Below are 22,694 nucleotides of genomic sequence, written 5' to 3'. Positions count from 1 at the left end.
CTTCCAGGGACATCCTACTCTGGGGGAGATTCTGACACTCAACCTAGGACTTTTCAAGGAGGATTGTTGCAGGCTATCAATTAATATATTAAAAATAACATGTAGCCAATTACTGAGACTCTGTGGGTGATTTCAAAGTTCTTCAGAATGTACATATTAAGTTACTCAGAAGAAATCCATTTTGGCTTTAACATATTAAATGTAATGAGTCTTACAGAATTGGTTTGTATCAGAAATACCAAAAGCTCAGTGGTGCCCACTGATCAATTTGTCCTCTACAGTAGTGCTCAAGCAGAGACGGATGAACCTAATAAGGACAGGCTGTTATTTAGTGAGAGCTTAAGAAGTGCCAGACATGGTGATAAATGTTTACACTTGTCATCTTATTTCATCTTGACCCATCTTTGGGAGAGGCTTCCTGTTATCCTTACCTTTCAGGGAGGACCCGAGGCTCAGTGAAGGTGAGTGACTTGCCCCAAAACACACACCTATGTAAAGGCAGGACTGTCCTGTAATCTAGGTGGCCCACCTGACCCCACAACATCAATGTCCCTGACTGTGTGTAGGGGCTGCAGATAGCAGAAAGGAACTTGGAGTGAGGACCAGTAGACTTGCAAGTAGATAACACCCCAAATGTGCTTGGGCTGCTAAATTTCTCAGCTAACCAAGGACTATTACATTCAGCTCTTCTAATTTATATTATGTTCATACAGACCAGCGTTTTAGCCTAGTGAGATATTTTTAGACTAGAAAACCTATGCAATGCTGAGGATTAAACAACTTTAATTCTATTGCACTTACCCACATCTGGCAGGCAGGGCGTACCTTTATATAGAATTAAAAGCCAATGAAACTTGCCGTTTTTTTTTTTAAGTTTGGCAGTAAAATTGCTTTCTTCCAGTTGTTCACAGATGAAACATGCTGTGCTGGTTTCTGAAAACCAAGAAGCCTGGAGAGAAATTTATGACTTTGAAACAAAATTTAGAGGTTGAAGGATTTAGCAGTTTGCAAAGAACATGGAGCTAAGCCCTTGAAAAAGGCTGTTCAAAAAGTCCTGGCCTAAAGTGCCAAGGTCGTTTTCAGAAGTCCCCGCAGAAGCTCTTAGGAATCGGAAAGCGTAAAAATGGGGAGAGAGTATTTTGAAGACATCTTTCCCCTGAAAGCTGTTGCTTGTGAGCCTGTGCATTTTCCCACACGAATATGCTCGGCCGTTATGTTAGCCAGGCATTTCCTGCATGCGGCAGGTTTGTTATGCTTCTTTTTTTTTCCTTTTCCTTCTCAGGGAATTATCCAAGATTTGTAGCCAGCAGTCTCTGCCATATTTTCTCTCAGTCCTTAGTCACACGCCCATATATGGAAATCTTTATCACATAGTCCCTGGCTAGGACATTTTGTAGGAAGTGTTTAGTGTATTGTGGTCTTTATAATTAAGTTATTCTAAGGATAAAATGGCAGCAATAGGCATGACTATGTGTGTGTGTGTCTGTGTACGTGTCTGTGTGTGTGTTTAGCCTTTGTTAGCTGCGAAACATATTTGACAAGTTTAAAGTCAAGGGTTTATCCCCCTCAGTAGTTCTTGTATAGCAAAGTGAATTTTTGCTATTTAGAAAGGAATCTTCTTCACTTTTGCCAAAAGTAAAGTTGAAAGGCATGCTGGGATATTTTCCCCATAATAAGGGATTTCAACCCCTTCACATTTGGACATTTTCCCTGCTTAGGCAGCCACAGCACAGAGATAGAATTAGTCACAAGATTAGTCCAGCTTAAATAAGCAGAAGTCAAGTTAGTGCTTCACAGATTGGTCTTTTAGCAGATGCTCTGCCCTTTCGAGGAATGCAAGGGGCAAATGTGAGCTCTTAAGGATATTTTACATTTGCGCAATGAAGTTACGCTGTTCAAAAAACTTTCTCGTCTTTCTGCCTTTGTGCAACCTAATTTCTCTTACCAGAAACCTGAGGCTCCAAAGGTAAGTCATTTGCTTGAGAACCACAGCTAATACCACTTTGCATTCAGAAACCCCCAGCAGCTCCTACTGCATAAGTGATCAAGTCCAAACTCCTTAGGACAAAAGCGGAGGTTTGAGAAACATTTAACAACCATTTATACACATAAGTACCTGTAGTTAGGCACCATGAGGGGTGAAATCAAATAAGATGAATTCTTAGAGAGCTGTAGTAGAAAGGAAGAAGTCTGTCATCATACAAATAATTAATTGCAATAAGTGTCTTAGTCGGCTCAGGCTGCTGTAACAAAATACTATAGACTGGGTGGCTTAAAAAACTATTTATTTCTCACAGTTCTGGAGGCCGGAAGTCCAGGGTCAAGGTGACAGTGGATTCGTTTCCTGGTGAGGACCCTCTTCCTGGTTTGTACATGTAAGTGGCCACTGTCTTGCTGTCTTGCTGTTTCCTCATGTGGTTTTTTCCTGGGTGAGTGCACTGACGAGAGAGAGAGAGAGAGAGAGAGAGAATCTATTTTCCTCTTTTTATTTTTTATTTACTTATTTTTTCGAGACGGAGTCTCACTCTGTTGCCCAGGCTGGAGTGCGGTGGCGTGATCTTGGCTCACTGTAACCTCTGCCTCCCGGTTCAAGTGAGTCTCCTGCCTCAGCCTCCCAAGTAGCCTGGGATTACAGGCACCTGCCACCAAGCCCAGCTAATTTTTGTATTTTTATTAGAGACGGGGTTTCACCATGCTGGCCAGGCTGGTCTCAAACTCCTGACCTCGGGTGATCCACCCACCTTGGCTTCCCAAAGTGCTAGGATTACAAGCGTGAGCCACCGTGCCCGGCCTATTTTCCTCTTCTTATAAGGGCACTGTTTCTCTCATGAGAATTCTCACCCTCACGACCTCATCTAAACCTAATACTCCCGAAGGCTTTACCTCTAGATACTATTACATTGGGAGTTAGGGCCTCAACATATTAATTTTCAGAGGACATAAACATTCGGCCCATAGCAATAAGCAAGTGACTGGGGAAGAGTGGTCTGGGATTGAGCAGTGTTGAGGTAAAACTAGCTTTAAAAATCATGTTCTTCCCAATGGTCTCTCCCCATGGACTCGATCCAGGGTCTGTGAATAGCTTCGTCCTGCAACTAGTGATGCATCAGAGCAAAAAAAGAGGCAGGACATAATGCAGCACTTAGGAAGGAGGACGTGTGTGCGATCATCATCAGACTTCCACTTACAGGTTAAAAGAGAAGTGAGAGTTGTAGTTGTGGGTGAGGCCAGGGTAGGGGAAGGAGGAAGTTAGGGAGGGGCTGGCAGGGAAGACCAACACTATGTCATGGACAACATCCCTGGAAGGTATTTCCCAAATTTCCTTCCAAGAAGATGGTCTGTTTGTACATTATTACTGACATTTTGGACCCAGATTATGTGTCTGTTTTCAGAGATATTTGATTGCTTGAGCCCTTCTCCATAGCCAGATCATCTCCAGGGTCAGTGAGATAGTTAACATATTATAAGTGATATTGACTTCCCCCTGGACGTAATAAGAGGTCTCCTTTTGTATAAGCAGTACAGGTTCTGTGAGTTTGGCCTGTCTGCGGTTAAAGTCTAGTACAGGCCTGGGGATGAGTGTACTTGCTTTGCTAAGTAATTGACTCCAGACACATTTTGCCTGTACAGAGACCTGAAGTGGGCATATGACTGTGTTTGAGATAAAACAAACAAAGAGAACAGCCTTGGGCGACCAGTGGCATGGAGCCCAGCCAGATAAACACCCTCTGGGTATACCCAATGCCAATTTTGGTGTGGGGACCCTTTTGCCCATTGTCTTGCATGGGCTTCAAGAGTCCCAGCAACCATTGGGAAATAATTAAATCACCTTATACGATTGTTCTTGGAAGTAAAATGCTAAGAAGTGTTTGTACAGGTCAATCAAGTCAACACAGCAGGAAGCAGAGTTAGCTGCTTTCTTTTAAAGGGGCCTAGCACTATGTTCTGCCTTCCTCTCTTCTTCCCTCCTTTCGTGACTTCCTTCCACTTCAACTGAACATCTACTATGTGCTGGTACTGCCCTAAGCACAGGGAGTACATAAATGATGAAAGCATGGCCTGGCATTTGTCCTCTTTTATTCTGTGAATATTTATTGTATGTGCCAGCCACTATGCCATGTACCAGGCATGATGCATGGAACAGGAAATGCAGATTCTGCATTGTCAGGATACAGGATAGTGGTAATAGTGTTGAGTAAGTAATTAGGAGTGTCTCGAAAGTCATAGAACAGAGTTCCATGAGGATGTATAACAGAAGGGCCTAATTGAGTTTATGGAATCAAACAGCTCCTCATCTGAAAAGCACCATGGAGAAAGTGCTTAAAACATGCTTTTACCTCAGTAAGCTCTATTTTAAATTCATATTCTATCTTCCTAAAGTGAAGAAAATCATATGACTTTTTAAAATTTATTCGATTAAATTATGTTGATTACATGAGTCAAGCAACCAGTTTAATAAGTGAATTAGTTGCTCAAGATTTAGGTAGATTTAGTCTTCAGACTAAACTCAAATTCAAACTTCCTAAGTTCACATGGCAAGTTAGGCAGAATTCTAAGATGATCTCCAGTATTCCTACTCTCCTCTTCCCTGGTGTACACATTCTCCCAGTTATTTAATCAAACTCTAAGCTAGGTACCATGAAGAGATTTTGCGGAAGTAGTTAAGGTGCCAAATCAACTGACCTTAAGGTGGGAAGATTATCTGGGGAGCGGCAGGTGCTGATCTAATCAGCCAAGCCCTTAAAAAGGACTGGGCTCTTGCTGGTGAAAGAGATTCAAAGATTCGAAGTGTGAAATAAATTTGACACTGGAGCCGGGGTGGGGGATTCTCCAAAGCTGGATTTGAAGAGGAATATGAAGGGCCTTTAGGAGCTGAGAGCAGCTCCTAGCTGATAGCCAACAAAGAAATGAGGGCCTCAGTCCTACAACCTCAAGGAAGTGAATGCTGCCATGACCACATGAGCTTGGAAGATGACCCTGAGCTCTTAATGAGAAAAAAGAAAACCTTGCCAACACTTTTAGCCTTGTGAGATCCTAAGTAGAGAACACAGCCACGCTGTGCACAGCCTTCTGACCTATGGCACTGTGAACTAATAGGTGAGCATTGTTTTAAGCCTCTAAGTTTGTGGCAATTTGAGACACAGCAATAGAAAACAAATACAGCTGCTATTCTGTTTCCCTCTCAGTATGGACGTCTCTATTAATTCCATTATGACCCAAATCCTCTTGATTAAAAAGACTGGACATGTGACCAGGTTGGCAAATCATCATATCTCTCACCTCTGAGCATAATGATTGGCTCAGGTGTTGGGATTGTGACCTAAGCTGTGCCACCAGTGTCCTTACCTGTGAATTATCAAAGATGAGCTTAAGGAAGAATGCTAACTTCCCCAGGAATGAGAGCCCAGAGCTGCCCATATCCATGACTCCACTAACATGATGAAACTGATTTGAACCTTGAAACCCAAAGAGCATGGAGAGTCCTGACAGTGTTCGAGACCCTGCATCCATTGTCTTTTGGCCACCTGAACCTATGCCCTTCCAGAGACTTGGTTATATGAACCAAGGCTTCTCCTTTTGATTTGAGCCAGGTCATGCTGAGCTTCTGTTGCACGCAGCCAGAGAGGTCTGAAGAGCAAAGCTAGAGAGAAGTAAAGAACTGTGAGCTGGAAGACACCAGTTCTGCTTATCAGACATTATCAAGACATGGAAGTGTCTCCTTGCACATAACCTGAGTTTTGTATTTTGTTCTTATAAATCAGTGCTGAAGGACATCAAATGATAGCAAAAACAAACACTAGCTCAATCATATTATTAGAGCTTGCAGGAATTTTAGATGCTATCTGGTCAAGGGCCCTAATTTTCTATGTGTAGAAGCTCAGGCCCAGAGAGAAGAGCAGCTAGTTAGGTAACAAGGTGGTCATTCCAGAATTATTGGGTAAAACTGACCCAGGTTGAATGAAAAATGGTGCTCTCTATATCTAATCCATTTTCTTCTGCTTTCCATGATTACTTGGGTCTTCCATCATTCCAGTGTCTTTTTCTCAACTTTTCTAAAACTGTGTCTACTGAGCACTGTGACTCTCACGATCCCTATGATATATTTTCAACCTAGACTCTCCAGTTTCTGAAACTCTGGTGATATCTCAGTTTGTCAGAGTGATTTCTACTTGATTCTACTAAAACTGGTGTAAAACTGTGTCCTGTTGTACATACTGCAAGAAGCTATCCTGGGCACAACTTACCTTTGTGATGATTGTATAAGGATAAATTCATAAATGATTACCTCCCTTAAATACAAATGTAAGTTGTTTCCATAGATACCTGTTCACAAAGATTAATTAGATAAATGTTTTCCAATGCCTGGTTGAATTACACTTAATTACACTTCTGACATACCAAATTGTGAACATCTTACTCCATTTGAACATGGAATTACAGAGTAGAAGATCTGGAAGAGGGCCTTAGGGATCACCAGACTCAATCTCTCATGGATCAGAGAAGGACAATGGGCTCCAAAGAGCGGGAAGGCCTTGGTCAAGGTCAGAGCCTCTCTATTTTAAAAATCAATAGGCCACCTATTGTGCTTTTAAATGAGATGAACTCACAAACATCTTTTCTTAAAATTTGCCTTTTCTGCATGTATATAAACAAAAGTAGCAAAAAATATAAAATGTAAAGATTGTCCACCACCTGGATTTCGGAGCAACTAGGGAAAAATCTGTTTCCAGGATTAAGAACAATCTTACCAATGAGATAATAAAATAACCTATTTGTTATTAATTTTAAAACTTGAGTAATTGAAAGAGCAGCATTGTTTTTCTTTATAAAAATTGATATACATTTATTTTAAAATATTTGGAAAACTGTAAGCTGTAGAAAGAAGAAGAAATTGCTTATATTTGCACTACCCAACAAAACCAATTTTTAACATTTTTGGTGATTTTTCTTCAATCTTTTTCTATATGAATAGAAAGTCTGTGAGGATGGCAGTCATAAACATTTTCCCACGTTATTACATCTTCTTTATAAATATCTACTAAGCACATGTGGTATGTTTTTCTTTAGCAGCTAACTATTCTATTACAGGAATGCTGGTTTTAAAATAACCTTACAAAGATCATCTTCATGTATAAATATATTTTTCCATATTTAGGAGTATTCTCTTATTCCTTATAAATGGAATTTCTGGATCTGTTTTATAATAGGTGCATAACTCAATTGATAGACATTAAAAGAATTAAATAAGTATGTTAATCAGAATGAGCCAGGTGTGCTGTGGTAACAAGCAGCAGTATTATCTCAATGACCTAAGAAAAATAAAAATTTACTTCTTAGTTATGGGAATTCATTTGTGGGCTCAGGTTACTCTCTGAAGCTGCTGTCCTTAGCAGTCCAGACTTTTCAGTGCTTTGGTTCCACCGTCTCAACCAAGCCTCCTCTCCAATTACATCTTCACAGGAAGGTTCCTAAATACTCACTCATACCCCGTAGGCGGAACTTGTTACACAACCCTGTCTGCCTTCAAGGCAGTGGGATTGGGTGAGAAAGCGTGGTCCACCCATGCACCAGAAGGAGGTAAGCAGTTAAAGTTTCTATCACATCACAGTTCATGTTGTTGACCAATTGCTTTTCACAATTCACATGCCCATCAATTTGCATGAGAAAGTCCTTTTCACTACATGCATTTACTATACTCATTGCATATTACTCCTTTAAAAAAAAGCTTTGCTACAGTGATGGGCAAAAATATTTAATATTTATCCCTTTGATTACCTCAAGGTCAACTTTTTTAATTCATTCATTCATTCATTCATTCATTGAATCAATCATTCAACAAATACAGCTATGTGGCAATAATGAATTGGATATGTGGTGGTGGTCCCACATGATTATAAGGGAACAAACAACTTTAACCTCAGTGTGGATTAGGATGACATTGAGGAGCCTCTAGATGTGAGTCCTGAGGAACTGACAGAGTTGTGAGAGCTGGAACAGAAACTCAGAGCTTAAAGAAGAGTCAAGAGAAAAGGAAACTGCAGAAGAAAAAGAAAAAACCCTGAGCAAATTCACTGTCAAGGGTTTGGCAGAAGCCTTTGTAGACCTCAACAACTCAGAAAGTTTGAAACCATGGACCCTAACACTGAAAGGTTTTCATTAGTAGAGAGACGTGTTCATGATGCATTATCTACTTTACAAGCACATCTATGATGAATAAAAAGAAATAAACCAAGCATTCTTTTCTTTTCTGAAAAGAGTGACACCTCCTCAAGAACAGCCCCAGGCAGGTCCTTCAGGAGGTGCTCCAGAAGAAGGCATTGTTTTCATAGATGACAGCTCCATGGGTGTTATTACCCCTTCAGTCCTTCCAGTGGGACAAACTGGAGAGGTAGAAGACAGTGATACTGATGATCCTGACATTGTGTAGGCCTAGGCTAATATGTGTGATTGTGCCTTAGTTTTTAACAAAAATGTTTAAAAAGTGAAAAATAAAAAACTGTGAAAGTAGAAAAAGCTTATAGAATAAGGATATTAAAAAGAAATATTTTTGGGCCAGGTGCGGTGGCTCACGCCTGTAATCCCAGCACTTTGGGAGGCCGAGTGAGGTGGATCACGAGTTTAGGAGATCGAGACCATTCTGGCTAACACGGTGAAACCCCGTCTCTACTAAAAATACAAAAAATTAGCCGGGCTTAGTGGCGGGCACCTGTAGTCCCAGCTACTTGGGAGGCTGAGGCAGGAGAATGACGTGAACCAGGGAGGTGGAGCTTGCAGTGAGTGGAGCTCGCACCACTGGACTCTAGCCTGGACCACAGAGCGAGACTCCATCTCAAAAAAAAAAAAAAAGAATTATTTTTGTACAGCTGTACAATGTGTGTTTAAGCCAAATATCTACAAAATAATCAAAACATTAAAAAATTTAAGAGGTTTATAAAGTAAAAATGTTACAGTAAGCTAAAGTTAATTCAGTATTGAAGAAAGAAAAATATTTTTTATAAATGTAGTGCCATCTACGTGTACAGTGTTTATAAGGTGTACGGTTGTGTCCTAAGCTTTCACATTCAATCACCACTCACTCATTGACTCACCCAGAGTAACTTCCAGTCCTGCAAGCTCCATTTATGGTAAGTGACCTAAACAGGACAGGGTGTGCCATTCTTAACATTTTATATTGTATTTTTACTGTTTTCTGTTTGAATATGTTCAGATACACAAATACTTACCATTGTGTCATAATTGCCTACAGTATTCAGTAGAGTAACATGCTGTACAGTTTGTGGCCTAAGAGTGATAAAACCATACCATAGAGCCTAGGAGTGGAGTAGGCAATACCATCTAGGTTTGTATATGCACACTCTATGATATTCACACAAAGACAAAATTGCCCAAGGAAAGCATTTCCATTGTTAGGTGGCGCATGACTGTATTTACTTAACAGGTGAACCAGGCACTGACCCAGGTATTAGGTCTCTAATGGTGGACACATACACATGGCCCCTTTCCCCATGGGCTTTATGATCATTGACTAGTTATGGTGCCTCTTTTATGAATTGTCTGTAAATATCCTTGCATGTTTGCGTTTAGAGTTCTTTGCATTTTTGTTATTGAGTTACTTCAGCTCTTTATAAAGAAAAGATAGAAGCTCTTTTTTGCATTCGCTGCAAACTTTTTTTCAGTTTGCCTTTTAATCTAAATTTTGGTGATGTTTTCCCTTTTTTACAGATTTTTAAAATTATCTATTCAGATCTCTTGGTCTTTTCCCCTTAGATTTCTTTCCTTACTTTTAATCTTAGGAATACTAAAAATGGTTATTTCTGAGTTTTTTACAATTTTTCTCTTGCTAAAAATCACCTTGTGAGAAAACATACACCTACACTCACATATGTGTGTGTATGTATATAGATATTTTTAGAGAGAGAGAGAGAAGGAGAGAGAGTGTGTGTGTGTGTGAGAGAGAAGGAAATAGAGAGATGGAAAGAGAGAGGAGGGAGAGAATTCAGTGGATAATTCAATTCAAGACTCTTTATGCAGGTTTTGAACCTAAAAGCCACTTTAGCAATCCCAGTGCCTGCCTACCTCTCCTGTTTGCCCAGTCTTTTCTCCTCTTGGGGTTCCCAGATGGAAGGTGCTATGGAAGGTGCTTACAGTCCTTACAGCACTACAGAAGGTGCTGTAAGGACTAGACAAAAGAATAATGCATGGTCTATCCTTCTAGTCTATAAAATCACATGCACAACTACACAGGCACATGCACGCAGAGTTCATTAATTCAAGGCTGTGTGTGGTAAGAAACAAGTGAGTTGTGTAGACTGGATGGACTCCAAACTTTTCATTTTGCAACCCTGTTAGTTAAAAACATGTTGTGCAAGCACTTTCAATATATATTTCATAGAACTCAAGACACTATCAATTGTGCATTACATCATTACGTTATACAGCATGAAGTAAGAAAAATATCCCTGCCAAATTGTGACATAGCCTTTCTGTAGGTATTGATTGTAAAATGCATCTCAATATGAGAGATGTTAAAATGTGAAACAATGTGTGTCTCAGAACTGATAAAAAATGATCATATGCTTCTAAATGAATATATTATGTCCTCTTAAAAGCATACACAAAAATGGGAGTTTTAAAAGGTTGAAGTTTTATAAGCAAAAGTTTAATACCTTCCTGTTGCACCCGAAAGGATCACTACAGACACCCCACTCTGGAGGCCACTGGCATAGACAGAGGTCCTGTGTGGGCCCAGAAGAGTGAGGGGCTCTTAGCTGAGTCTGTGTGGCTCTAGGGAAGTGGACAAGCATTTCAGAAGAAGTGCCCAAACACAGAAACAGGGAAAGCATCTGAGTGATGTTGGGGGACAGTGAAGCCAAGGGGCCAGAAGTGACTGTGGTTCTCAGCCTCAGTGTTAGGGCGAATGACAGAAGTAGGGTAGCCAGGCGAGGAAGCTACTCTCTGGGAGAAAGATAAACAACTTAGGGAAATAGCGGCATGTAAATGGAGCTAACTTGAACTGGGTAAGCCGATGACAGCTGGGCACTGTATTTAACGTCAGCATAGACAAAGAGCAACACAAGATTTGGGTAGGTGCCACTTAAGGCTGATCTTACAAGTCAGACGTGCGGTGGCTCTAACAGAAGTCACGAGTACCTGGCTCAAGATAGCTCCCCTACTGACGGTCACAATTTCTCCTTTGAAGATTAATCCCTTTCAGTTAAAGGACTGAAGACTCCAATTAAAATGCAATTACCCCCAACAGAGGTAACCAACATATTTTTCTTGTGAGAGGACAGGTTGCTGAGAGGAAGGCACTAAAGAAATATAGTGTGAAAGCTGGAGGTGGATTCTTCTGGTATTCCAGAAGCTGGATAATTCTGGAATACTGGATTCTTCTGGAATGCCCGTCCACTTCCCCAGAGCCACACAGACTCAGCTAAGAGCCCCCTCACTTTTCTGGGCCCACACAGGACCTCCATCTATGCCTGTGGCCTCCAGGGTGGGGTGTCTGCACTGATCCTTTGGGGTGCAACAGGAAGGTATTGAACTTTTGCTTATAAAATTTCAACCTTTTCAAACTCCCATTTTTGCGTATGCTTTTAAGAGGACATAATATATTCATTTAGAAACATATGATCTTTTTTTTATCAGTTCTGAGACACACATTGTTTCACATTTTAACATCTCTCATATTGGAATACATTTTACAATCAATACCTACGAAAGCCTATGTCACAATTTGATTGGCAGGGATATTTTTCTTTCTTCATGCTGTATAATGTGATGATGTAATGCACAACTGATAGTGTCTTGAATTCTATGAAATATATATTGAAAGTGCTTGCACAACATGCTTTTAACTAATGGGGTTGCAAAATGAAAAGTTCGGAGTCCATCCAGTCTACACAACTCACTTGTTTCTTATCATACACAGCCTTGAACTAATGAACTCTGCATGTGTGTGCGCCTGTGTAGTTGTGCATGTGATATTATAAACTTGAAGGACAGACCACACATTTTTTTTCTGTCTAGTCCTTACAGCACCTTCCATAGTCTAGGCCAGCAGTTCTCAACACTATCAGACCTAACACCCCTTTTATAGCTAATAATTTATAATGTCCTTTTTACTATCTTAAAATGAAATTCACAAATAAGTTTTTTTAAAAGCCCATATTGTATTAGTTGGGTTCCCCTTATTGCTAAAACAAATGCACCCTAATATGTTTAATAGCTTAAATGCAATAAACGTTTATTTCTAGCTCTCATGATAGGACTGAGCAGATAAATAATGGGCAGGGAGTTGAAACAGACATGGAGGCATGTACCTGGGAGGTTTCCATGGGCCAGGCCTGGAAGTGGCATGTGCCACTTCTGCTCAGGGGCCATTGGCTAGGACTCAAGCACATGACCACACCTGCCTGCAAGGGTAGATGGGAAATAGAGTCTAGTTGAGGAACCAGGAGAGAGAGTGGAACATGGATTTTGGTGGGCATCTAGCAGTTTCTGCCACAAATATAATGCCTTGTTATAAAAGAGAAAATAATTTACAATAAAATAATATGATTTTCATTATGTATACCCTTAGGATAGTCACACTAGAAGACATGAGTCAAATGCTTTCACTCATAAGAGAATGATGTGAATGTGAAGGCCTTAAGTGCAGTTTAAGAGTGGCGTGTTGTATTAATGACTAACATATCCTTCCCTATTTTACTATTACTATCCAACAGTGGTATTTCTTTTTTTTTTTTTTTTTACTAGTAATGAGAGTTCCTGAAATAGTGAACAACGCTTAGTAAAATTCTGAACAAAGCACAGTCTTTCTTTAATTTATACAGCTGACACATTATGGGAAAATCTGGTGCATATTAGAACTCTGCAACAAATGCTTTGTATTTATATGTAAAATCAAATTGGGTTCTAGGCTCACATAATTATAAAGATTTTTTTTTTTTTGGCCTCCAGGAACATCAAATGGGGCACTAGTAGGCCCTGAGGGATGAGGAAGAATCCTTCGTTGTGCAAAACTTTTCTGGATATTGCAGGATGTCTAGCGACCCCAGCACCCTCTTGCTAAATGCCAGTAGTACCCTCCCCACATACACAAGTCACTGTGACAACCACATACACCACCACAATTTTCCAAAGCATCCCCATGGACTCGTACTGCTTCCACTGAGAACCACTGGTCTTAATAAATGCTTGTCCAATTCACTCTTGGGTACTTGAAGAAATGGATAAACAAACTGATTCACTAATCCTGGCATATTGCTATAAAGCAAAGAATATGAATATATTTGGAATGCCAGCCTTGCGCTATGCTAGGTGATTTTACATAACTATCTCATTTAATCCTCATAACAGTATTGCAAGATATTATAAACTTGAAGGACAGACCACACATCTTTATAGTGAATGAAATGGAGGTCTTGGAGGTGAAGTAACATGTCTGTAATTACATGGTGGGTAAGTATGTGGGAAGCTGGGATTGAAATCTGGGCATGACTCCAGAATCCATGGTAAATTTCCACCATTATTAGGATGACCATATGTTTCCATTTAAGTCTACCATCCTGCATTTAAGTCTACTGTCCTGGAGTAATGATTATTAGCACTCCCTTTCACTCTCCAAAGAGTCCCAGTCTGGAGAGTAAATTACATGGCCACCGTAAATATTATATGCTGCTATTGTCATCAGTATTTATTGCACAGGAAGGTCAAGAGAGAGGGAAAAAAGGTAATATCATTCTTTCTCAGACATCAGTGGATGACTGAGGAGGCAGAATGGGTTTTCTCTTCCCCATTTATCACCTATGCACTTCTCAAATCATCCATGGATATTTGTATCTGTTTATCTTCTGGAAAAACAATTTTTAAACAGTAGGAAAACAAACACTTTCTAGATATTCAATCTTTTACTATCAAATGGGGTGTTGTCCTTTACCTGCAAATAAGATATGCTGTCTCCTGAGAAAGACCAAGTACTCTTAAATCTGAGAAACAGTTGAAGATAGCGTAGGAAGCTGAACTGAGACACACTGAGCAAAGTGATGCATTGATGCTTGCTTGCTTGCTTTTGATGAGCTGGTCACATTCTTGAAGTTAGGAAGAAATCCTCCCTTTAGATATTTAAGTTAGAAGCCTATCTCTATCAGCTCCTGGTTCTGACAGTTTTCAAACAATTGCTTTAAACAAGTCACAGTTTTAGACATGTCACATGCACACGTTCAGTCTCAGAGTTATGGGAAAGTACCAGAAAAAATTCACAGGGTAATTTCAACACCCAAATGCTGTCTCCGCCACCTTTCCCATCTTATTCCTGTCAATAATTCTCTCCCTCCACTCTGCCCTGCCATCCCCCCACCTTTTGTTTCAGCTCCTTGTGGCATTTGGTGTTTCCCCTCCCAATCTGCAGCCAGGGTCAGCACTGGTGAGGAAAAGTGGGTCAGATTGCCCTCTGTCTCCTGGTGCTGAGCACTCCTATGTTGGTTCAAACACAGAACCAGCTGAAACTCACTCAGGCCTTCCCCAGCTGGCATCAGCCACTGCCCTAGTGGTGGTCTCAGGAATTTCTTGGAAAGGAAGTAACCTGGTGGTCAGCTGCCCCTTCTTGGTTTCCCACCAAGAGCTCTAATAGAAAGAGTCCTGGTGGAGATGCTGAGCCTGACCCCGTTGGGGGCCTATTGGAAGATGTGTCTTAGACCCAGGTGGCACAGGGCAGAGAGGGAGCTTCCGGGCTATTCCTGGTTTATCCATGCACCATTGCCAAGCTTGGGGATGATGCTTAACAAAGAGCACAGCATTCCATTGAAGGCTCATAATAAAATTATAAAATTAAAAAAATAATAATGGTTGAATTGGGCTTAAGTAATACCATCCTGTTGTAATTGTTTCCTTCAGCTTCAGTTGTATTTAGAAAAAAAGAAATCACCTCAGAAGCTGATACAAATTATTAAAATTTCCCCCTCTTCAAGTCTCTGTAGCAGAGTAGAAGGCATGGAGACTGTCAAAAGACATCTGAAACCTTAAATGATAAGTATGAAATAATCTCTCTAAGTGTGGATATTGACCGCTTTTGTTGTATAAAGACAGATTGTTCTGCTGAGACCACAGGCAATACACTCCATAAATGCTATCTTTTCTCCCTCCCATATCCATAGCAGACTGTGTTAATTGATCACCTACTCTTTCTGGCTAATTCTCAATAGAATATTTCAGGGAGAAACTGATGAAAGTTGGCAAAGGAAATGAAAGCTGTTTTCCTTTCTGACCTAGAGTAAGCCCACAATGAGGTAGACATTCCCAGAATTTATCACCCAAGGAAGTTATAGTATTTGATACAGGAATTTGGAATCTTGGAGAATGGACCTTAGACCACCATGAGAAGGATCTCTTAATTTTCTCTCACCCCATCAATCTGTCTTGAGAAGTCTAGCTATGCTGGAATACTACCAGCTGGAAAGGGATTGATGTGGAGATATGCCGGGAGGTAGGTAGGGAGGCCCTGGAGAGGAACCCAAGCTCAAGATGAGTACTTTACATTTTGGAAGCCAGATTACTTACAAGTAGCTCTTTGGGTCTGCTTTCTTTGCTGATATCCTGGAGTCTTAAGCAAAGTTGATCTATTCATTCATTCAACAAACAATTATTGGGCATCTATCCTGTGGCAGTCACTGAGCTATGATCTAGAATATGAGGATGAATGACACGGATACAATCTGAGGATGACAAACCAATTACAGCTGTTTTTAATCTTGGTGGTAAGGGCTTTGAGTGGCAAAACGTGGACAGAAATGCTGGGGTGACACAGCAGGGGAGCCCAGTGTTCTAGTTAAGTGGTATCTGTTCTCCAACTTGATTTCACTGGATGGACTGGGCACAGAGAGAAGAATTATGGGCAGGGCTTGGGCAGGAAGATTAAAGAGGTAGCTACTCCCCCAAGAGTCGGGTCCTGAGATCCAGGTACCTTATTCACATAAAGGCTCTTTTCTTCCACTGCCAACCTTGGAGTTTGATTTTTTTATAGGGTTTGATTTCTTTATAGTGGGTCATGGAAGCTAAAACCTTGGCAAAGAGCAATCTGTGATCTGCTATTGTGTTTTTCTATTCCCGTCCACAGGTGATTCCTAGCAGTCTCCATTTTGAAGTTCTCTTCTCCTTTGACCAAGCGTCCAGCACATCCTCACAACACTCCAAAGCCACCTTGAAGACTCTCTTCAAAGCAGTTCTTACTGTTGATACCACCACCATTGTTCCGACACATGAAGCAGGAGGACCCAAGGCCAGAGGTCATGGTGGAGAGATGAGCAGATAGTCCTCAAAGGCAGACAGGGCTGGGGTTGGAGAGGAATTCCCTAATAGCTGTTATAAATGGAGATATGACAGGTGTGAACAAACAACCTAGGACTGGAAGAAAGAAGAGGGAGGAGTCGGGTAGAGATAGTACTTGGAGTGGATGCCCAGGCTGTGTAGTGACATAAAGGGGCTTAAAGAGGGCTTAGGGAGCAGATCTGAGAGGAAGAGAATGAAGGAAGGTAAGGAATTCAGTCTTTGGCATTCTGATACGTTGTGAGGGCTGGGGGTGGTGACCGACTAGATTCAGGGAACCTGAGGGCTGGGTGTTGGTTTGTGTTCTTGAAATTACTTCCTCAGGATTTCACATCTAACCAAATATTAACAATCATTTACTAAATAAATATTGTTCTGTCCCTGGATGGGCAGATGGGAGTGTTATGCCTGCCCCTCCCCATCCCCCACCAAAAAAATAACAAAGGCAGTTTAATTCATGACCCCAAGGCTGTCACAATCCAGACTAAGAAGTGCCCTGAGAGCCTGGTGGGATCATCTTGGTGCACAGACCCAGTATCCAGGGGATCTGAGTGGCCAAGGAACACCCAGAACTCCTGCCTCCCATAAGTGCAAGGCTGAGCATAGCAAAGTATGAAGAGGGAAGGCTCTTCTAACACTGAAGTACGTAGGAGCAGACTTTTCAGTAAGAAGAAAAGTCCCAGAAATTCAGATTAGATTATAAACAAATTATAAAGCGATAAGCTGGCTGAAACAATAATATTCAAATTAGTTCAATTCAGCAAGTACATATGAGTGCTTCTGTGTGCCCATCCTGGGCTAGTCCACTTGAGGGAATGGACACAGGAGAAATGAACAGGGTTTAAAGGGGAGGTATTTCTTCAGGCACAAAGCTCTGCAGATGGCTGCCTCTCCACTGGGCACCCCATGACAATTCACACAAGATCTCTCCCAAGACCTCTCAAAGCAATTCTTTTAAGACCTCAGTCCCTGCCCCCAAGCAGCCAGGAGTCTGTTTCACTGGTATCAGATCAAGCAGACCCTTCCTGAAGCTTTTGTAGAGAAATGGAAGTGATTTGGTTAAAACAGGGAATTTCGGCTGGGTGCAGTGGCTCACACCTGTAATCCTAGCACTTTGGGAGACCCAGGCGGGCAGATTGTCTGGGCTCAGGAGTTTGAGACCAGCCTGGGCAACATAGCTAAACTCTGTCTGTACTAAAAATACAACAACAACAACAAAAAAGTAGCCAAGCTTGGTAGCATGTGCCTGTAATCCCAGCTACTTGGGTGGCTGAGACATGGGAATCACTTGTACCTGGGAGATGGAAGTTGCAGTGAGCCGAGATCATGTCACTGCACTCCAGCCTGGGCGATGGAGCGAGACTGTCTCCAAAAAACAAAACAAACAAACAAACAAACGAAACAGGGAATTTCAAAGATGAAAGCAAGAGCAAAGATGGAGAATGGGTTGGAGGTGGAAGAAACACAGAAGTAAGAAGTAAAGGCTAGTGAGGAGAGTATGAATACTTTAGGCTCTCTGAGTTGATGGCAGCAAGTAGAGCCAAGGGGCAGGGAGAATGAAGACATAGTCTCTACTGATTGGATGTAGAAGAAATGAAAAAGAAGAGTCTAAGATGACCTTCAGTAGGAGTGGTAGAAGGGTGAATGAGGAAAGTCAGTAGCTCAGAAGAGAAGCATTTGAAGAAGGAAGATAACAAGTTCAGTAATTTAAGACTCTATCTTTTCTTTCCTGAACTCTTCCTATAGTATCCCTGTTGGGTCCCCCTCTCCAGGATTTGTTCTCCAGTCTACCCTTTGCACTGGGTTTCTAAAAGGCAATCTTTACTGGATTATTCTCTGCATCCAGCCTCACAGTGGTTGCCACCACCTTGAGGTGAAAGGCCAAGGTCCAGAGCATGGCATACAAGCTCTTGGAGCTCTGCCTTTCCTATATCTTAGCCTTATATCCTGCCATTCTCCTTCTTGGGCTCAACATTCCTGCCATCCTGAAATATTTGCATTGAAAAAGAAAGCCAGTTTCATGTGTCAGTGCTCTTGTACTTGTTAACCTCACCGTGAAAATTTTTTCCTACCTTTCCTGGTTGAACTTCTCACCATCCTGTACCAGGTGGCTAAAAACCCAGCAAAGCACTCCCTAATGGTCCTCTCCACTCTCCCAAGGAAGGTTTGTTCCAGAAATGCAAGGTCTGATTCAATATATGAAAATTATTCAATGTAATCTTCCATATTAATGGCTAAAGGAGAAAAATCATGTGGTCTTGTCAACTGATACAGAAAAAGCATTTTAAAAAATCTAACATGTATTCATGATAAAAACTCTTAGAAAAAATGGATTAGAGGGAAACTTCCTCAACTTGATAAAGAGTGTCTACCAAAAGGCTCTAGCTAATATTGTTTTTAGTGGTGAAGGACTGAATGCTTTCTCCATAAGATCAAGAACAAGGCAACAATGTCTGCTCTCACCACTCTTATTCAACATAGTACAGGTAGTTCTGGCCAATTTCAAAAGGTACAAGAAGAAAAAAAAGCATGCAGATGAGAAAGGAAAAAATAAAACTGTCCCTATCTGCAGATGAAATGATTGTTTAGGTAGAAAATTCCATGAAATCTGCAAAACAACAACCTCCTAGAACTCATAAGTGAGTTCCTCAAGGTTGCAAGATGTAATACAAACATACAAAAGTCAATTTTATTTTGGCATCCATAACAGATGGAAGTTATAGTACTTGATACAGGAATTTGGAATCTTAGAAAATGGACCTTAGACCACCACAAGAGGGATCTCCTAATTCTCTCTCACCCCATCAGTCTTTCCTGAGAAGTCTAGCTATGCTGGAATACTACCAGCTGGGAAGGTAGTATATGGTGTCCATAACAGACACCAAAATAAAAAATAAATGCCATTTACAGTTGCTAAAAAAACCCAAGTATAAATCTAACAAAACATGTACAGGACTTCAATTGTACATGTTTTGTGGCAGAAAACTACAAAACATTGATGAAATAAACCAAAGAAGATCTAAATAAATGGAAAAACATAGTGTGTTTGTGGATTAGAAGATTCAATATAATAAAGAAGTCAATTATTTGCCAATTTACATAGAAGTTTAATGCAATTCCTATCAGAATCCCAGCAAGATTTTTGTAGATATAGACACGATTATTCTAAAATTTATATGAAAATGCAAAGGAACCAGAATAGCTAAAATAACTTTGTAAAAGAATAATAAAGTGGGAGGAATCAATCTACCTGATTTCAAGATTTATTATAGAGCTGTCGTATTTACAGAGTGATAGACACATAGATCAATGAAACAAATAGAGAACCTAGAAACAGACTCACAAAAATATGCCCAACCAAAAGGTACAAAAGCAATTCAGTGGAGGAAGGATAGCCTTTTCAATGAAGCTCAACTTAAATCTCATATATTTAAAGAATTAACTCAAAAATAGATCACAGGCTTAAAAGTTTTACACTATAAAACTTTTAGAAAACAAAACACAGGAGAAAATCATAGGTATCTAGGGCTAGGCAAAAAGTTCTTAGATTTGCCATCAAAAGTCTGACCCATAAAAGAAAATATTAATGGTTAGATTTCATCAAAATTTAAAACTCTTGCTGTGTAAAATGGCCCATTATGAGAGTGAAAAGACAAGCTTCAGAGAGCAAGAAAATATTTACAAACCACATATCTGACAAAGGGCTAGTAGCTAGATACATAAAAATCTCTCAAAACCTAACACTAAAAAATAAAACAAAAGCAATACAATCAGAAAATGTGAAAACGACATGAAGAAACACTTTACTGAAGAGGATATATGGATGGCAAATACGCATTTGAAAATATGTTCAACATCATTAGTCATTAGGAAATGTGAATTAAAATCACAATGAAATATCACTATGCAACAGAATGGCTAAAATAAGAAATAGTGACAACACCAAATGCCAGTGTCAATGTGGATAAACTGTATCTCTCCTATAACTGTATCTCTTCTGTATCTCTCCTATATTTTTGTGTAAACATGTTTCCATTTCTCTGGATAAATACTCCTAGGTGTTTATCACACAAGTGTTCATGGCTGTTTTTCTGGTAGTAGCCCAAAAACTGTAAACAACCCAGATGTCCTTCAACAGGTGATAGCTAAACACACTATGGTACATCCATGTGGTAAAAAATATCAGCAATAAAAAGAAACGAACTTCTGATGTGCACAGCAAATTGGATGAAGCTTCAGGGAATTATGCAGAGTAAAAAAAAGCCAATTCCAAAATGTTACATACTTGATTACAGCATTTATATAACATTCTTGAAATGACAAAATTATAGACATGGAGAATGGAGGAGGGGTTGCCAGGGGCTGAGACGGGTGTTGGAAGGAGGAGATGCAGTCGATAAGGTGGTGTGGCTATAATAGGGTAATAGCAGGGATATTTGTGGTGATGATATTGTTCTGTATCTTGTCAATATCCTGGTCTGATATCACACTATAGTTTTTCAAGATGTTGCCGTTGGTCGAAAATGGGTAAAGGGTACACTGGATTTCTCTGTATTGTTTCTTACAACTGCATGTGCTTCTACAGTGATCTCAAAATTAAAAGTTGAATTTAAAAAATAAAGCACAAACCACACTCATGTATTATCTCATAGTCAGAATCCCAGGCCCAGCATAACTGGGTCCTCTATTCAGGTCCCACCTGTCTGAGACCAAGGTGTCTGCCAGGGCTGTCGTCTCATCTGAGGTTTGGGGTCCTCTTTCGTGCTTAATCAGGCTGTTGGTGGAATTCAGTTCCTTGTGGCTGTAGGACAGGATTCCCCATTTTCTCACTGTCCACCACAGACCATTCCAGAGACCAGCAGCTGCTTCTTGCCATGTGGCTCTTCAATATCCCTTCTCATGCTTTGAGTCTCACTTTCTAGGAGGGCCCAGGCCCATTTATGAAGTTGCCTGATTAGGTAAGTCCCACTGGGATAATCTCCCTTTTGGTTAACAAGTCAACAGATTAGTAACCTAACCGTGGGCGGTGATACTCCACCATATTCACAGGTTTGGGAATTATGTGACGTGTGTATACCAGAGGGTGAGAATTCTTGGGGCTGCCTTAGAATTCTGCCTCCCACAGACCATCTTAGCCCCAGCATTCTCTGTGGGATAAGCAGAAGTCTTTGATGGGACTATACCACAGTGCAATTCTTCTCTCTGCCCATTCCTATTGTTACCAAACAATCAATCGGCTCATTTCCCAATGCACATAAAAGCCAATACCATGCACTGGATTTTGAGAAAAGAAAGGCTTTATTTCTAGCTAATTGTCAAGGAGACAGGAGGAAATGCTCCAATCTGTCTTCCTGAGCTGGGGACTGGGTCAGGCTTTATAGGCGTACAGTAATGAGCCATGATCTGATTGAGTCTTCCGATGAAGTGCTGCCAGGGACGCATGATCTGACTAGATCCTGCCATGAGGTGACACCAGGGCTCCATCTGATTGGATTCTGTATCTTGCCATTCAGGGTCTGCGTCTTCATTCAGTCCCTGCTCCCCAGTTTGAGACCTTAGGTTCCACCCATGGTTGAATCCTTGGTTCATCTGGGCATGCTCAGGTAATGTGACCTTCAATCTGGAGGTTCCTGGCAACTGAAAAACAACTCACAACTTTGTTACATAAAACTTGAACCAGATTGGTCTGGTGCAGTTACACCATTTTCTTTGTTCCCTACTGTTGTTGATCCCTAGAACAATTGCCCATAAACTTTCTGCACATAAATCTTGCTCTGTGAGTCTGTTTCCCAAAGAACTGGGAGTGTTACTGTTGTACCACTGAGCTACAGGGCATGGAAGACTGACTGGTAACATTTTATTTATTTTTATTTTTATTTATTTATTTATTTTTGAGACAGAGTTTCACTCTTGTTGACCAGGCTGGAGTGCAATGGCACCATTTTGGCTTGCTTCAACCTCTGCCTCCTGGGTTCAAGTGATTCTCCTGCCTCAGCCTCCTGAGTAGCTGGGATTACAGGCATCCACCACCACGCCCTGATAATTTTTTGTATTTTTAGTAGAGATTGGGTTTCACCATGTTGGCCAGGCTGGTCTCAAACTCCTGACCTCAAGTGATCTACCCACCTTGGCCTCCCAAAGTGCTGGGGTTACTGGCATGAGCTACTGCGCCTGGCCCCAACCAGTAACATTTAAAAAATCTGGGCGCAAGTTATACTTGGGACCCTACTTAAAAAAAGAAGTTGATAGAGCTGTTGGGGGGTAATCCCTAGGGCATCAAGTCAGGAGTACTACGTGGATGTTCATTGGCAACCAGGTCACTCAATGGTCTTCCTCCGGATTCTGTTTGCTGTAAAACTTGATCCTTC

The 22,694-nt window shown here is 40.8% G+C and overlaps 1 long non-coding RNA gene across 2 annotated transcripts, besides 1 other annotated feature; it reads left to right on the top strand.

The window, feature by feature from the left end:
• Positions 1 to 909: 909 nt before the first annotated feature.
• LOC102724804 (uncharacterized) lies at positions 910 to 16,422 on the top strand. 2 transcript variants are annotated; one of them, NR_125828.1, is made up of 3 exons: positions 910 to 1,244; positions 2,298 to 2,375; positions 16,118 to 16,422. It is a non-coding gene; the product is annotated as an uncharacterized LOC102724804 (long non-coding RNA). The 2 variants fall into 2 exon arrangements; NR_125829.1 differs by lacking the exon at positions 910 to 1,244 and adding an exon at positions 1,700 to 1,966.
• Positions 10,852 to 11,614: an enhancer, noted in NCBI's record as "OCT4-NANOG hESC enhancer chr8:97388962-97389724 (GRCh37/hg19 assembly coordinates)". NCBI's record gives its function as "activates a minimal SCP1, AML or CMV promoter by ChIP-STARR-seq in primed H9 embryonic stem cells {active_cell/tissue: H9 hESC(primed)}" and the evidence as "EXISTENCE:reporter gene assay evidence [ECO:0000049][PMID:30033119]".
• Positions 16,423 to 22,694: the final 6,272 nt, after the last annotated feature.

This window comes from Homo sapiens, chromosome 8, assembly GCF_000001405.40.
Source record: "Homo sapiens chromosome 8, GRCh38.p14 Primary Assembly".
Taxonomy (NCBI): Eukaryota; Metazoa; Chordata; class Mammalia; order Primates; family Hominidae; genus Homo; species Homo sapiens.
Note: the sequence above shows the minus strand (reverse complement) of the source record. Positions and strands in the feature narration are given on the sequence as shown.